This window comes from Homo sapiens, chromosome 13 (genome assembly GCF_000001405.40).
Source record: "Homo sapiens chromosome 13, GRCh38.p14 Primary Assembly".
NCBI lineage: Eukaryota > Metazoa > Chordata > Mammalia > Primates > Hominidae > Homo > Homo sapiens.
This window is the reverse complement of record NC_000013.11, coordinates 43,807,704-43,824,710: the sequence shown is the minus strand read 5'-3', so window position 1 is coordinate 43,824,710 and position 17,007 is coordinate 43,807,704. Positions and strand designations below refer to the sequence as shown.

The 17,007-nt window shown below is 39.8% G+C and overlaps 1 protein-coding gene and 1 long non-coding RNA gene across 3 annotated transcripts in view; one reads left to right on the top strand and one right to left on the bottom strand.

Moving 5' to 3' along the window:
- CCDC122 (coiled-coil domain containing 122) overlaps positions 1 to 5,693 on the top strand; it is a 60,723-nt gene extending 55,030 nt beyond the window's left edge. The window contains exons 7-8 of one of the 2 annotated variants that reach the window (XM_047430112.1): positions 700 to 805; positions 1,756 to 5,693. In XM_047430112.1, the coding sequence (XP_047286068.1) occupies positions 700 to 765 (66 nt within the window). In that variant the 3' untranslated portion in view covers positions 766 to 805; positions 1,756 to 5,693. Of the gene's footprint in view, positions 1 to 699 lie in introns of both variants that reach the window. The other variant, XM_047430113.1, reaches the window with a different exon arrangement.
- Positions 5,694 to 9,894: 4,201 nt separating this feature from the next.
- LOC124903166 (uncharacterized) lies at positions 9,895 to 13,529 on the bottom strand. The gene is made up of 3 exons (XR_007063773.1): positions 13,298 to 13,529; positions 12,069 to 12,129; positions 9,895 to 10,446 (listed from the first exon to the last, which is right to left on the bottom strand). It is a non-coding gene; the product is annotated as an uncharacterized LOC124903166 (long non-coding RNA).
- Positions 13,530 to 17,007: the final 3,478 nt, after the last annotated feature.

Genomic DNA, 17,007 nt, shown 5'->3' with positions numbered 1-17,007 from the left:
TTTTTCTTGTTGATTTGTTTAAGTTCCTTAAAGATTCTGAATATTAGACCTTTGTCAGCTGCATAGTTTGCAAATATTTTCTCCCATTCTGTAGATTGTTTACTCTGTTGATAGTTCTTTTGCTGTGCAGAAGGTCTTTAGTTTAATTAAGGCCAAATTATCAATTTTTGTTTTTGTTACAATTGCTTTTGAAGACTTAGTCATAAACTCTTTGCCTAGGCTGATGTCCACAAAAGTATTTTTTAGGTTTTGTTCTAGGATTTTATAGTTTGAGGTCTTACATTTAAGTTTTTAATCCATCTTGAGTTAATTTCTGTATGTAGTGAAAGGTAGGAGTTCCGTTTCTATCACAACTTATGTGGCATAAGTGCGAGTCCTTTCACCATGCTAGTTACATCCCTTTGCATATACTCTTCCTTCACATTGTCCTATGAAAGTTGAAGAAAACAAAAAGATACTAAAGATATAGTCTTATTAGTTGCTTATAGAAGAGGTCTATTTCATCCCATATTTGGGACTCAGGTTTCTACTAATGCAACCTCAGTTTACATGTGCTTTTCATGGTAGTCATAGCATATTGTTCACTCATATTGAACTGACTCCTCCAATCTGAGAGATTCCGTTGGCATGAAAAAGGGTTAAACTCCTTGCTAAAACATGAAATCATTATTTATTGTCATTTAATACATTTTTTGGAAGGCAAAGCGAGATGACCCAATAGAAGCCTGCACCACTCATTCCCCAAGCAGGAGCATCAAATTCTAACTATACTCAAGAGCACCATCATCACAAGAACCCAAATCAGGTGAGCAATCACAGTACCTAGTTTCAACTCCATATTTCTGAAAGAGGCTAGAAGAGATAGTCTTGAAGAGCCAAACTACCACTCCTCCATACCCCAGCAGTGACTGGGGGCTCAGAGAGAGAATCTGTGCACTTGAGGGAGGGACAACTGGGGGACTTTACACTGAACTCAGTGCTGCCCTGGGAGTAGAGAATAAAGCTGTGCTGGGCTCACCTAGCGCCCACGCATGGAGGAGGCTTTCAGAGCAGACCTAGCCAGAGGGGATTCACCCATCCCAGTGATGGAAACTTGAGTTTCTCTGAAGGCCTTGCCACTGTGGGCCATAAGTGCTCTGATGTCCTAGGTAAACTTGAAGAGTAATCTAGGGCACAAGGATTGCAATTCCTAGGCAACGCCTAGTGCTGGGCTGGCCTTAGATCCTGGGAACTTGTCAGGTAAATGGCCTAGAGCAATACCAGACAGCGAGGCCAAGGGAGTGCTCGCACAACTCCTGCCTCAACCCCAGGCAGTGCAGCTCACAGAGATGAAAGTGACTTCTTCCTTCTGCTTGAGGAAAGGAGAGCAAAGAGTAAAGAGGACGTTGTCTTGAATCTTGGATACCAGCCCAGCCACAGTGAGACAGGACATCAGGCAGAGTCATGAGGCCCCTCTTTCCAAGCCCTAGCTAGTGGATTACATTTCTAGACACACCCTGGGCCAGAATGAAACCTGCTGCCTTGAAGGGAAGGACCCAGTCCTGGTAGGATTCATCACCTGCTGACTAAGGAGTCCTTAGGCCCTGGATAACAAACAGCAGTACCCAGGTAGTACACCATGGGCCTTGGGCTCTGAGATGTGTTGGCTTTAGGTGTGATTTAGGACATTCTCAGCTGTGGTGACTACAGCAAAAGACTCCTTCTGTTTGAGAAAAGCAGAGAGAGAAGTAAAGGGGACTTTGTCTTGCACCTTAGGCACCGGCTTGGCCACTGGGGAGTAGAGCACCAGCAGACCCTTGGGGTCCCCGGTTCCAGGCCTAGGCTCTTGGATGGCCATTTCTGGACCTGCCTTATAAAAGAAGGGGAGCCCACCACTCTGAAGGGTGAGTCTCAGGCCTGGAAGCATTCATCACAAGCTGACTGAAGAGCCCTTAGGCTCTAAGTGAACATCAGCAGTGCCCTGGCAGAACCCCACCATGGGCTGGTGGTGGTGGCAGCCACAGGGAGAGGCTCCTCTCTCTGTGAAAAGGAGGGAGAAGAGTGGGAAAGGCTTTGTATTGTGGTTTGAGTGCCAGCTTAGCCACAGTAGAATAGAACATCAGGTAAATTTCTAAGGTTTTTGACTCTAATCCCTGGCTCCCAGACAGCATCTTTGGACCCAACTGGGGCCTGGGGGAACTTACCACCCTTAAAGAAGGGACACAAACTTGGCTGGCTTCGCCACCTGCTAATCATAGAGCCCTAGGGCCTTGAGTGATCATAGGCGGTAGCCAGGTAGTGATTACAGGGGGCCTTGGGTGAAACCCAGTGCTGTGCTGTTTTCAAGTCTGAATTGGTGCAGTCCCAGTGGTGGTAGCCTGTGTTCCCCACCCCCAGTTTCAGGGAACTCAGCAGACAGAGACAGACTCCATTTGCGGGAAAGTGAGGGAAAAGAACACGAGTCTCTGCTTGGTAATCCAGAGAATTCTTCCAGATCGTATGCAAGACTGCCAAGGCAGTATCTCTATGAGTCTGCAAGAACCACAGCATTATTGGGCTTGGGGCTCAAGTTCCTTCTAACACCTGGAAAGCCTTCCCAAGAAGGAGGGGCACAAACCAGCCCAGACTGCAAAGACAACAATAAATGCCTAACTCTTCAGTGACCAGACACTGACGAACATCTACGAGCATCAAGACCATCCAGGAAAACTTGAGCTCACCAAAGAAACTAAATAAGGCACCAGGGACCAATCCTGGAGAAACAGAGATATGTGTCCTTTCAGACAGAAAACTCAAAATAGCTGTGTTGAGGAAACTTATGAGAAATTCAAGATAACACAGAGAGGGAATTCAGAATTCTATCAGATGAATTTAACAAGGAGATTGAAATTATTTAAAAGAATCAAGAAGAAATTCTAGAGTTGAAAAATGCAAGTGACACACTGAAGAATGCATCAGAGCCTCTTAATATCAGAATTTAGGCAGAAGAAATAATTCGTGAGCTTGAAGATGAGGTATTTGAAAATACACAGTCAGAGGAGACAAAAGAAAAAAGAATAAGAAAGAATGAAGAACACTTAAAAGATCTACAAAATAGCCTCAAAAGGGCAAATCTAAGAGTTATTGGCCTTAAAAAGAAGGTAAAGAGATGGGGTAGAGAGTTTATTCAAAGGGATAAGAGCAGAGAACTTATCAAATCTAGAGAAAGGGCCAGGCCTAGTGGCTTACGCCTATAATTCCAGCACTTTGGAAGGCTGAGCCAGGCAGATCACTTGAGGTCAGGAGTTCAAGACCAGCCTGGCCAACATGTTGAAACCCCATCTTTACTAAAAATACAAAAATTACCTAGACATTGTGGCAGACGCCTGTAATCCCAGCTACTCGGGAGGCTGAGGCAGGAGAACAGCTTAAACTTGGGAGGTGGAGGTTGCAGTGAGCCAAGATTGTGCCACTGCACTCCAGTCTGCACTACAAGAACAAAACTCTGTCTCAGAAAATAAAAATGTTTTAAAAACCCCTACATAAAGATATCAATACTCAAGTCCAAGAAGGATATTGAGCAGCGAGTAGATTTAACCCAAAGAAGACTATCTCAAGGAATTTAATAATCAAACTCCGAAACTCCCAAAGGTCAAGGATAAAGAAAAAAATCCTAAAACACATTTTTCTTACTGGCTTATCCTGGACCTTATGGAATAGCATATGGAATAAGACATTTGAGAATAAAATTTGGTTTAGGATAGCACTATTATAAGTTGATATCAAACATTGTTCTAAATAGAAAAATACTTTTCAAGAATATTCTCAATAGCATGTGTGTTTTCTCTACAGCAATTTTTAAAAGAACGCATACCCTTCAAAATGTGTAATTATAAAAGCTAACGTGTACTGGACCTTTACTGTGAGCCACAGCAACACTATAAAGTGGATCACAAATATTCTCATTTTAGAGATGAGAAACTGATTTATTTCCCGTGATTCTTATATGAAGAAAAATTCTGCTTCATCAGCTCTTTGATTAACTGGAAACATGGTTCATAGAAGAGAGGCAGGATTGATACTCGATTCTTTCATTTTAGTTTTCAATTTTTAGAATAAGAAGCCAGTGTTCTAGCCATATTCAAAGGTAATAAGCCAGATTCCCTTTTCAAAGCATTATAATTAACTCGTAGATTTTTATATATTTGATGTTGTAATCAGTGACAGTATTATTATTGATGTTCAAATAGCCCTATCTTTGACCAGTGAGAGCTTCTCAAGTTACCTTTAATGTCCTTTCGGCAAAACCCCAAGTTTTTGTAACTTACTTGCTTAAGGAGTGTCAAGTTGTCTCATACTTACCATCTATATTCCCCGCCTTAGACCTGAAACCTGCTACTTTACCGTGGAGCTCCTGTGTTTTTTTAAATTAGGAAATAGTATTTAGAAACCACAAGCTCAGCATTAAGGGTGTTCATCAAAACTAGGTTGTCACTATCCCTCAGGCTTTTCTGTGGGTAGAGGTAGAAAACAACAATATTTTTGGACTTATAAGTAAATCATCAGTTTCTACTGTATTTTTGACAATAGTTTGGACTGATTTTTAAAAACCCATCAGTTTATACTATGTTTTTCAAGTCAAAGATTACATAGAGTTTTCCTTAACACCTTCACTTTTATAGATGCACTTTTTTCTCCTGTGCTGAAAATTTTAGATCCTAAATCACATTAATACAAATATTTATTGTTTCAAAATAATAATAACAATTTTATTGACAATAAAAAAAACTTCAGGTTTTTGGGTCTTTTTGTCCTTATGATATTCTACTGGCAACGAACAGACAAAATATGTATTTTGTTTCTCTTTTTCATATTTTTAGAAATCACATTTTTATATTTTTAGAAATCACATTTTAAAATCTTTATTTCATCTTATTTTTTAATTATGTGAGATATTTACATGTTTACAAATTAAAATTATAAAATAAGGTAACTTTAGGGAGGTCTGGATTCCATTTCTGCTCTCTTCTTATTTTCCTTATCCCTCTATGGCATACAATTTTTATTTTTTTGATTCATTATTTCATTGTTTCATTTTAAATATAAGAAGTACTGTATTTATCCCTTTATGAGACAAAAAGTAGCGTAGTATAGGCTGTTTAAACTTTGTTGGCTTTGTTGCTTATTTTTACTAAATATACTGGACATATCTCCACAGTGATACATAGAGGTCTTCCTAATTTCTTTTTCATAATTACATCACTTTTCATTCTAATGGATGTCCATGGATTATTCAACTTTTAATGAATATTTGGGTTGTTTGTAATCTTTTGTTGTTACAAATAGTACTGCAATGGATGCTCCCTCATGAAAACGTCATTTTCTATTTTAGCTAGTATATCTTTGGAATAGACTCCTAGAAGTGGAATTGCTTGCTGAAAACATACATACACACATAATTTTGCTAGATATTACTGAATTCTGTCCCCTGGTGTTTTACCTACCATTTTTATAATCACACCAACAATGTATGAGACTGTTTGCTTCTCCAAAGCCTTACCATCGCTGTACATTGTAAAGCTTTTGGATTTTTCCTACATAACAGGTCAGAGAACTATTATACAAATATATTTTAATATGCTTTTATCTAATAAGTGAGGTTCAACATCGTTCATATGTTTAAAGGCCATAAGCATTTCTTTTTCTGCTAAATATTTTTTTAATTATACTTTAAGTTTTAGGGTACATGTGCACAACATGCAAGTTTGTTACACATGTATACACGTGCCATGAAGGTGTGCTGCACCCATTAACTCGTCATTTACATTAGGTATTTCTCCTAATGCTATCCCTCCCCCCTTCCCCCACCCCACAACAGGCCCCAGTGTGTGATGTTCCCCTTCCTGTGTCCATGTGTTCTCATTGTTCAATTCCCACCTAGGAGTGAGAACATGTGGTATTTGGTTTTTTTGTCCTTGTGATAGTTTGCTGAGAATGATGGTTTCCAGCTTCATCCATGTCCCTACAAAGGACATGAACTCATCATTTTTTATGGCTGCATAGTATTCCATGGTGTATATGTGCCACATTTTCTTAATCCAGTCTATGATTGTTGGACATTTGGCTTGGTTCCAAGTCTTTGCTATTGTGAATAGTGCCGCGATAAACATACGTGTGCATGTGCCTTCATAGCAGCATGTTTTTTAATCCTTTGGGCATATACCCAGTAATGGGATGGCTGGGTCAGATGGTATTTCTAGTTCTAGATCCCTGAGGAATCGCCACACTGACTTCCACAATGGTTGAACTAGTTTACAGTCCCATTAACTGTGTAAAAGTGTTCCTATTTCTCCACATCCTCTCCAGCACCTGTTCATCTCACTGGGGAGTGTCGGACAGTGGGTGCAGGACAGTGGGTGCAGCACACCGATCACAATTAGATGAATGGCTAACTAAAATAACCAATGCAGAGAAGTCCTTAAAAGACCTGATGGAGCTGAAAACCACGGCACGAGAACTACGTGACGAATGCACAAGCCTCAGGAGCCAATTCAATCAACTGGAAGAAAGGGTATCAGTGATGGAAGATCAAATGAATGAAATGAAGCGAGAAGAGAAGTTTAGAGAAAAAAGAATAAAAAGAAACAAACAAAGCCTCCAAGAAATATGGGACTATGTGAAAAGACCAAATCTACGTCTGATTGGTGTACCTGAAAGTGACGGGGAGAATGGAACCAAGTTGGAAAACACTCTGCAGGATATTATCCAGGAGAACTTCCCCAATCAAGCAAGGCAGGCCAACATTCAAATTCAGAAAATACAGAGAACGCCACAAAGATACTCCTCGAGAAGAGCAACTCCAAGACACATAATTGTCAGTTTCACCAAAGTTGAAATGAAGGAAAAAAAGTTAGTTGCCTTTTTACATCATTTACTATGTCCTTTGGTGCACGGAATTTTGACATTTTGATGTAGTTCAACTATTTATCTATTTTTCATTGCCTGTGATTTTACATCATATCTAAGAAATCTTTGCTAAATCCAATGTCATGAAGCTTTCCACCATGTTTTTTCTTCTAGTAATTTTATTGTTTTAGCTCTTATGTTTAGATTTTTGATACTTTTTTTTTCAGTCAGAGTCTGGCTCTATCACCCAGGCTGGAGTGCAGTGGCACAATCTCGGCTCACTGCAACTTCTGCCTCCTGGGTTCAAGTGATTCTCCTGCCTCAGCCTCCCAAGTAGCTGGGATTACAGGCATGTGCCACCATGCCTGGCTAATTTTTGTATTTTTAGTGGAGACAGGGTTTCACCATGTTGGCCAGGCTGGTCTCGAACTCCTGACTTCAGGTGATCCACCCACCTTGGCCTCCCAAAGTACTAGAGTTACAGGTGTGAGCCACCATGCCCAGCCCAATATTTGATACATTTTGAGTTGATTTTTGTATGTGGTATAAAAGCAGGGGCCAACTTCATTCTTTTGCAAGTAGATACCCAGTTTTCCCAGCACCATCTGTGGAAGGCTGTTTCTTCCTCATTGTATGGTCTTGGTCCCCTTGTCAAAAATGTTTTGACCATCTATGTGAGAGCTTGTTTCTTGGCATTCTATTCTATCCTGTAGGTCAATGTGGCTGTCTTCATGCCAGAATAATCTTTCGTTTGTGACAGAAGTAGCAATTATTTTCCCCAGCTTGTCATTTGTCTTTTTACTTTTTTATATTACTTTTGCCATGCAAAAGTTGTTTTATTTTTATGTAGTTGAACTGATCAATTGTTTTACTGTTTTTGTATTTTGTGTCATAGTTAGGAAAGTTTTTCTCATACTCAGCTTATTAAGAAATATGTCAATGTTTCCTTCTAGTACATGAATAACACCATGTCAATTTATCTAATAATTGTTATCTTCAATTCTACTACAAAGTGTCCATATAAAAAGAGAAATTGACTCCTTTTAGTGAATCCATAATAAGAAACCAAATTGAAAAACACTGCAAAAAGACTGATGGCCAAGCTCGAACGTAATGTTTTGTTTATAATAATGATGGCAGTGATGATAATGACAGCTATTGTCTGGTGACTTCATAATCAGCACAAGGCACTGTAGGAGATCTTTGCATATACTAAGTACAGAAAAAGAAAAGCACAGCTTTTAAGAGCTTTAACTTCGGATTTACATAAACTTGAGTTCAAATATGTGTTTTATTAGATTTTATTCCAAACTCTCTCACTTACTGGTTGTGTGACTTTGGGCGAGTTTCTTTTGTTCATTAAATCTCATTTTAAAAATCTGTAAAATGGAAATAATAATAGGATTACTTCATGGAGTTGTAAGATTAAATAAGATAATGCATATAAAGCCCTCAGTGATTAGCATTATGTATTTAATACACATTAGCCACTGTTAATCACCAGTTTAGAAATGAAATTACTAAAGTGATGAGAAATTAAATAAAGTCATTTAATTAGTAAGTGTCAGAACTGGAATTCAAACCCAAGCTTTAATCTGTTTTCACTCCAAAGTTCTTACCCCTCTTCTACATCAGTAGAAAGTATTTTTTATATGAATACTGATTTTTAGAAAAGCCTTAGAATAGAGCATACTGGAATGTTAAGGAAACAGCTTTTTTTAAAAAAAAAAATTAGAAACAATGGCTTTATTTATTTATTTATTTATTTAATTTTTCTGAGACAGAGTCTTGCTCTCTCACCCAGGCTGGAGTGCAGTGGCGCAGTCTTGGCTCACTGCAACCTCCTCCTGCTGGGTTCAAGCAATTCTCCTTCCTTAGACTCCTCAGTAGCTGGGATTACCGGCATGTGCCACCACACCCAGTTAATTTTTGTATTTTTAGTAGAGAGGGGGTTTCACCATGTTTGTCAGGCTGATCTCGAACTCCTGACCTCAGGCAATCCGCCTGCCTCGGCCTTCCAAAGTGCTGGGATTACAGGTGTGAGCCACCACGCCTGGCCAGAAACAATGGTATTTACAAAAGAAACTTAGTGTACAAAAACATAGTGCATTACCCCATGATCATTGCCTCTTTGTCCACAATCAAATGGGATGTATTCAAAATTTTTGAGCTGAGAAGTTAGAGAAGAAAAGGACTGAGAACGTGTGGCTAGATTGGGTAATTAAAATCCTATGGCTGATTGTTAAAGCAGAAACCACAGTATGTGTGGTTAAGGAGCAAGTGTATACCAGCAGCATCGGGGCTGGTGGAGGCTGGATCAGGCTAGCCAAGATTAGACAAGCTTTCTGGGGGCCGAACAGGAACCAGGAGAAGCCCTAGAAGGGAGAGAGAGGACTGATAGCAGGGAGCATTTATTCCTCATGACTCATGTTTCCATTAAGGGAAGAAAATGTCAAATCTACTCCCCAGGAATGGAAAATTATGAGAGGAATGCTTTCAGCTTATCTCTGATTTTCCTCTTTTCCTAGTAGATGACTGATTTATCTTTTGCAAAGTTGGAAGAACACTTAACCCCTGACTCTCCATAAGCCAGCCTGCAAACCAAGTGCAGAGAGAGTGCATTCTGGGCTGCTGTTGTAGGAGAAAATTCAACTCAGCAAGGCTTTTGACCAAACATCTAAAGACATGTTCCCCAGTTGGCTTTATCAATAATGAAGTTAACATTTTGAGGTTGATTCTTCCAAACATGAGAGGGGGAGAAAGTAGTGTGCAAGGGGTCAACAGGCAGAAGCTGAAGCAGGTGAATATCCAGGTGGCATCAGTATGCTTAAGTAACAGTAATGCAGGCAGAATCCCATCCCAAGGTGAAGCATTTCCACAGACACTCTAAACTGTGAATCTAACTGCACTAGTTGCTTTCTTGTGACTAGATTTAGCCTAGAACCTAAGTGCAAGCTCACCCCCTTACAGGTGGAATTTGAGGCCTTAGGTGTGAGAAATAGAAGGATAATATGCCTCAAACCAAAAGAGTAGAAAAAGGGAAATTACATGTTTATTGCACTTTTGAGAAATGAGATAGTAAATGAAAGGCTAGAAATACAATAATTTAAGAGGGGGATTTTCTAGAGCTTGGGCAATAGGACTGTTGCAGAGCTCATGAAAAGGGTGACACTGAAGATGCAAGAAAATAGAAGGTAATTCATGCAGTAGTCCTGGAAAGCCAGGAGGGGACAGGATCCATACAGAGAGGAAGGCATAGCCTTGGGAAGAAAGAGCATTCCTGAGACAGGATGAGAAAAATAAGAGAACGATCAAAGGCAAAAGAAAATTTTAAAGTGAGGAGGAAGGAAATCAAAGGAGCTCTTGTTTAGATAGAGGGTGAGGATAACAGCTAAGGGTAAAAGCACAGAGCTAGTGCAATTGAGAATGAAATGATGTGAACAGACATAAAGCTACTGGGAAAAAAGGGATTGACATTAATGATCTAAGTAATGCAGATCAGAGTAAATCCATGGTGAGCCCACTGAGCTCAGCTTTGCCATGGTTGTCCAGCAATGTTCTGTTGTCCAGGATTAGGAGGCACTGCAAAAGAATGGTTGGCAATTGAATTAATACATTCAATATGTCAAATGCATTTTAATTTTTCTTTTTTTCTTCTTTCCTCCCTCCCTCTCTCCTTCCCTCCCTCATGCTTTCCTTCCTTTCTTCCTTTATTTGATTTTACTTGTAACTGACTTGAAACTCAAACTTTTCTTTTTTAATGAGTTTGGATTTTTACCACAGGGTCATCATGTTAAACAGTTATTCTCTCAATATGGTAGTAGAGTTGTAAACATAGAAGTTATAAAAGGTAACATACCTGGGAAGTAGCTTGCTTACTTTGTTGGCTTATTTTAAAACCAAATTCAACATCTCAGGTTACAAGTGCAGTATTAATATTTATTGAACACCTAAGAAGTGCTAGACATTTTCTAGGGCACCATACAAACATGTAACTTGATTTAAGAAAGTATTCCAATTGGTATGATTCTGGACCATTTATTCAACAAGTGTACATCTACTAAGGGAATCTCTGCAACATAATGTGCAAGGCATGGTCCTCTCCTTCCTGCCACTAATACCTGAAGCAGATGAAACAGTTCAGCAGCACTGAAAGAGTTAATATAATGAAATACCAAATATGTTTCACAAATTTTCAAGGAGTGAACAAGATGAGCTATCTTTGAGACGATGGGCAGGATATGGATGAAATAGAAAGGAAAGGCTGGGATATTTCAAACCATAGCCTTTGCGTGCTGGAACAACCACGAAACTGAGCACGGGGGTCTAACTATCATGGAGAAGGAATAAAAGAGAATCTTTGAGTCCAAGCTGTATGGAGACTCAGAGGCTGGGTGGGAGTCGGGAAGCAGGGAAACATGTCTCTGAGGATCTACACCATTGGTTCATGTGCTACTCCCTGCGTTGGTTTAGACATGAAATCATAACTATGGCAGGATTCTTTATAAAGTGTCCTATGAATATTATTATTTATAATCATTCCATCATTATAATGCTTTTCAGAACATGAAGTCTTTAAGAATCAGTGTTGTCTGTAATCATTAAAGTAAGTCCCTCTCCAAAGCAATCCTTAGCTGACCAACCCATTAGTCCAAGTTAAACTGGAAACTACTGACTCTGGAGTAAGCCATAAGGCCTTTAAGAGACCTGCAATTATTTCTTTTTTAGCCTGTGAATATGCTAAATAAATATGAAGAAGTGGCAATTTAATTTTTAAAATTTTTCTCTTAAAGGCAGACACTAAGTTGAGATGTTTCTATTGTTTATAGGTATAAATGCTACTAATGGGTTGATGCCATTTTAACATGCCTCTTGAAAGTGAAAAGAAATGGCCTGGTAATTTTTTGTTTTGACAAGTGCTTGAACAAAACCTATCATAATATATCTTATAACCCTCAAAGCTATGGCAGGTCATATGTAAGACCAGACTGACCCTGAATCAGAAAGCCCCCGGACAGTTGGGTGGGTTGTAAGGGATCTCAGGAGACGACTTAGTCCAGATCTACTCACCCCTCCCAAATCCCCTGCTCTTCACACAAAGAGGCTGAATAGTAGCCTGGTCCTGGCTGCCACACTCCTGACCTACACCTCCCAACATACCTAACACTTTGACAGATTCACTCATTCATATAACAAGAACGTACCTGTGGAGAAGAAATTCAGATCCACAGTGAAAAGACAGACATAGTTTCGGCAGTCATGGAGCTTCCAGTTGAGCATGGAAGGCAGATATGTAAGAGCTATTAGGCTAATTATTTAATTATAAATATGGTGAGTTCTCTGCTTCCCCTCTTACACAGCCCACATAAAGCACAGGGAAGAAGGCAAGCATATGCTGTATAAAATATGCTGTGATTCATTTAAGTTACATTCATGTTCTGTGTCCAACAGCAAAACCCAATCAGCTCAAGATTGACTAAGTTCCATTAGAAATCAAAGCAGAACAGCATATGGCTTTGATATATAATTTATATTTTTTCCTCACCATTTTATTTGTCCTTTGCCCTTTCCATATTCATGTCAATAGCCACTACTTCAGGTGTAGAAAGTAAAGTAGCCTTTGCCCCTTCTGGCTTTTGTTTCTAAAAATAAAATGTAAGCCCATAGAAGAACTTACACTGTTTATAGAGGATACATAAGGGAAAAAATATTTGCAGGAACAAGTGGAATTTGAAAAAAGTAGGAGAGAGAGAGAGGTTTCCCAAGAAAGGGAGGCCTGGGAGCAGGGAGGAGTCAAATGCAGCCTCCAGGGAGGCAGTGGGAGCCTAGTGCAGAATGGCTTCAGGTAATAGTTGTGACTGGGGAGGAAGGAGGACAGGGAGGCTTCAGAGGGCAGCCAGACTGGAAGGGACAAAGCACATAAGCACATTCTCTTTAGGATACAATCAGCAAACCACTGTCTTCACCCATGCCCTGCTAGGTGTATCCTCCCTACCACTTGGCAACATCTCAGGGAGATTCCATAGCATTTCTGGTAATTTTCAACTACAGCTACAGTCTTATCTTTAGGTACACATAAGTCTTACTTTAATTTTTTAATTTAAACTAAAGCTTCTCTCCTCTTAACTGAAGCCTGACTTCTGGCTTTGTTTGGGTACCAGGAGTAGGAAGTGCAGGCTGTTTCTACTGCTGTCTTCTTCTAAACTCCAGGTCCCAATACCACATCCCCTCCTCCCCTCCAGTGGGGAAGAGGAGGGCTGAAAGCAAGAGAAAAGGCCTTTTTACTTAGCTTTTGCTGTTTGTGGTTCTGTCTCAATGGTCATTAAAATGTAGTCTCTGTTGGGTTGTATTTGCAGATTATTTAAATGCCTCCCCACCAAGGAATGCTAATCTGCACCATTCTCTATGAGACACTTTCCAAATGACCTCTTACCAGCCTCCTCAGGTTCTGTCCTCTAGTGATGACCCACAGTCTCCTTCTGCTTGCTGGGGGCCATTCACTTTAACAGGCAGCCTCTGGAGATGGCTCAAACCTGGCTCCTCCCAGTATCCACTTGGTGGTGTGCAAAATCCCAGAGCAATGGCACATTTGGGGCTGGAGGAGGCTTCCAAGAAAGGCAGAGGATAAATTCTCCTCCAAAAAATGGATGATGGGAATCCTAGAGTCAGAAATTAAGTTCGGTTATAGAAAAGAAATGGGTATGTCTTGCACAGTTATGTTCATGGTTTGAGAGTCCTACCTGCTATGCAAAAATAGGAAGTCACCTGCATGAATGTTGTCCCCTGGAATCGTATAACACATGGCCCTAAGCATCTATTAATGTAGGCCAATAAGGTTTTGTCCATTGCAATACATTTCCCTGGACTTCTTTGAAATAGTTGCAGAGAAGAAGTCAATTGCCATTATCCTACAAGAGGATGATGGCAGGATATCTAACCAGCTTGTAACCTTATAAATTATGATATTCAATAAAGATTATCTAGGCTGGGCATGGTGGCTCACGTCTATAATCCCAGTACTTTGAGAGGCTGAGGCGGGTGGATCACTTGGGATCAGGAGTTGGAGACCAGCCTGACCAACATGGTGAAACCCCATCTCTACTAAAAATACAAAAATTAGCCGGGGGTGGTGGTGGGCACCTTTAATCCCAGCTACTGGGGAGGCTGAGGTGGGAGGATCGCTTGAACCCAGGAGGCGGAGGTTGCCATGAGCCGAGATCGCTCCACTGTACTCCAGCCTGGGTGACAGCGTGAGACTCCATCTCAAAAAACAAAACAAAACAAAACAAAAAACCCAAAAGTATCTTCTGGTTTTTATTCAAGGGTTAAAAAACAGAATTTTCTTTAGTAGAGCAAAATAGAGACAGATTTATTTCCCTCCCACCCCTTGCAGTGTCGCCTTCCTTCTCTCGTCAATTGATCAGTTGCTCAAAACCCTTGAGTCACTGCTAATCACTCACTGTTACAAAGCAGGCTTCTGCTTGCCATCTACTTTCTAGTTTTACCTTGTCCTTGCTGTGGCAGCAGGGGACCATCATGTTTTGACAATGTTCTATTTTATTGATATTCTCCGTTAATTTTGAAGATAGGAAAGAAAGTCCTTTATTCTGGGCCGGGCGCGGTGGCTCACGCCTGTAATCCCAGCACTTTAGGAGGCCGAGGCGGGTGCATCACGAGGTCAGGAGATCAAGGCCATCCTGGCTAACACGGTGAAACCCCGTCTCTACTAAAAATACAAAAAATTAGCCGGGCGTGGTGGCGGGCGCCTGTAGTCCCAGCTACTGGGGAGGCTGAGGCAGGAGAATGGCGTGAACCTGGGAGGCGGAGCTTGCAGTGAGCAGAGATCGCACCACTGCACTCCAGCCTGGGTGACAGAGCGAGACTCCGTCTCAAAAAAAAAAAAAAAAAAAAAAAAAGTCCTTTATTCTGTTCTGGGAAAAAAATCTTACCTGGGCATTTTCCCAATCTTAATAACTGTTCTAAAAGAACAAAACTTCATGCTTAAAAGTAGTGATTCTGCTGTGTCATTGTATTCTGCTTCATCTCTAAAGAGCTATTAAATGCTGCTGGGTCAACTTTAACCTGCTTAGTTGACAGGGTAAAAGAGAACAAAGAAAATACACCTACATAACAGGTCTGCAAATTAAAGAGAAGGCAGCATGGTTGGGGGTCTCTCAAGAATCACACATTTGTGTATTCTGTCTCTCACTCTGGCTTTCTGATTTGTCAAATCTTTTTGATTTTTCAATTACTCATCTATGTATCTTTACAAAAGTAACAAAACCTAGACCTAGCAAACTCTGTTAACATTCTCCAGTGAGAAACAAAAAGCAAGGGAGGAGGAACAGAAATAGAGAAATGGCTGTTCAGAACTCAAACAGAATATGTTTTTGGGAAGATGAAACGGTTTCATAACAATTTTGGGCCAACAGTTTATGCTCCTCTTCCAAGGCTCATCCTCCAATTGGTTACAAGTTCTTTTACAATTGTCCTCAAAGTTCCCTAAACACTCATAAAGGCCTTTTCAGTGAACTGGCAGATAAAAACTCTCATTCTGTAAATGTGTTCAAAACCACATTTTATAAACTAATTATGTATTTAAACCCACTAATTTTTCCTGATAAATTAGATGTTAGGCGTGTAGATTTTATGCCATCATCATTTCCATTGATTGCTGACAGAAATATTAGGGATTCAATAGTGTAGAATACAATTAAATAAAACAATTTCAAATGGATGGAGGAGGGCATTCTGTCCTAATGTGAATCATTTTATTTTAGCTAAACCTATTACACACATATATTTATTAGCCATTCACATACACCCCAGACACTTTATGTGTTATACAAAACATAGTGATGGGCTGAGAAAAATCCCATGCCATTGTACTCAATAGTAATTAACATCAAAAATCCTGGAAATGGTACAGAGTGGGCAGCAAACCCAGTTTGATTTAATCATTGGCAGCATCTTCTTTTGGGCAGCACATTTGAGTGGGAGTCATGTGTTCTAAATTCTATTCAAGGCAATCCTTTCCTTGAAGAAAATCACATTCTTGACTCCTTGATTTCTCCAGCATTTGAAATTGGCAGAAATGCTTGGGGAAATTGGCAGAAATGCTTGGGGAAATTGGCAGAAATGCTTGGGGAAATTGGCAGAAATGCTTGGGGAAATTGGCAGAAATGCTTGGGGAGAGCGAACATTGGTAGAGATTCTCAAGATCTTGTTTCACCAGATCTTTCAGTTTCATACCAATTTATAATTCATATATTAACTAAGCAGTTCTTAAACCCATTTGGGGAATCTCTAGCCTTAAAATCTTTAAAACATCTGAGGATTCTAGTTATCTCCACAAGGTAGCAGAAGTAGAGCAGAGTATAACACTCTTCTATTATACATTATGTTTATATAATTTTATTTGGTTTTATTTTACATAGTCTATATCACTGTTGGCTTTTTAGGTAAATGTCTATACTTGCAAATATTAATTTTTAACAGTTAAACTGTAAGCTAGGGTTCTGGCCTAAATTTGAGGAGAAAGAAAAAATAGGAACTTCTTAGCTGAGCACAATATAAAACAGAAAAAAAAAAAACAGAAAATGGAGTGTTCTCAATTCTGACTGCATGTTAGAATTACCCAAGAGAATTTTAAAAACATCAAATTCTTGGCCCCCTCTCTAAACCAATTAAATCAAACTTGCTTAGAAGCTTGCATAGCAGCATTTTACAAAGTTATATTTCTAATGTAACTGGAACAGAGAAACCATCAGTAAGTTAGAAGAGGATATGTCTATGGCTGTGGGAGACTGGGGAACAGGACAAACATTATTCTTAGAGAATAGCACAATTGCCTAAGGGGAAGATCTATATACAGGAAAAAAGCATAGTGAACCAATAAGAGTTTGATAGAACTAAGCAGAAGAGGTAGGCATCTAAGATCACCAAACAAAGAAGGACTTCATCTGGGAAGGGTCTGAATCTGAGACTCCAGAGGGTCTCTTACCTGAGACATTTCCTACTCGGTGGCTTTGTAGTTGTCAATCTGGAGAATATTCAACAAGTCCTACATTAAAAGCACTTTTGAGCACTCCAGTAAATTGCTGTTCATGCCTCGTTCCTGAGGAGAGATGCAAGAGAAAAAGC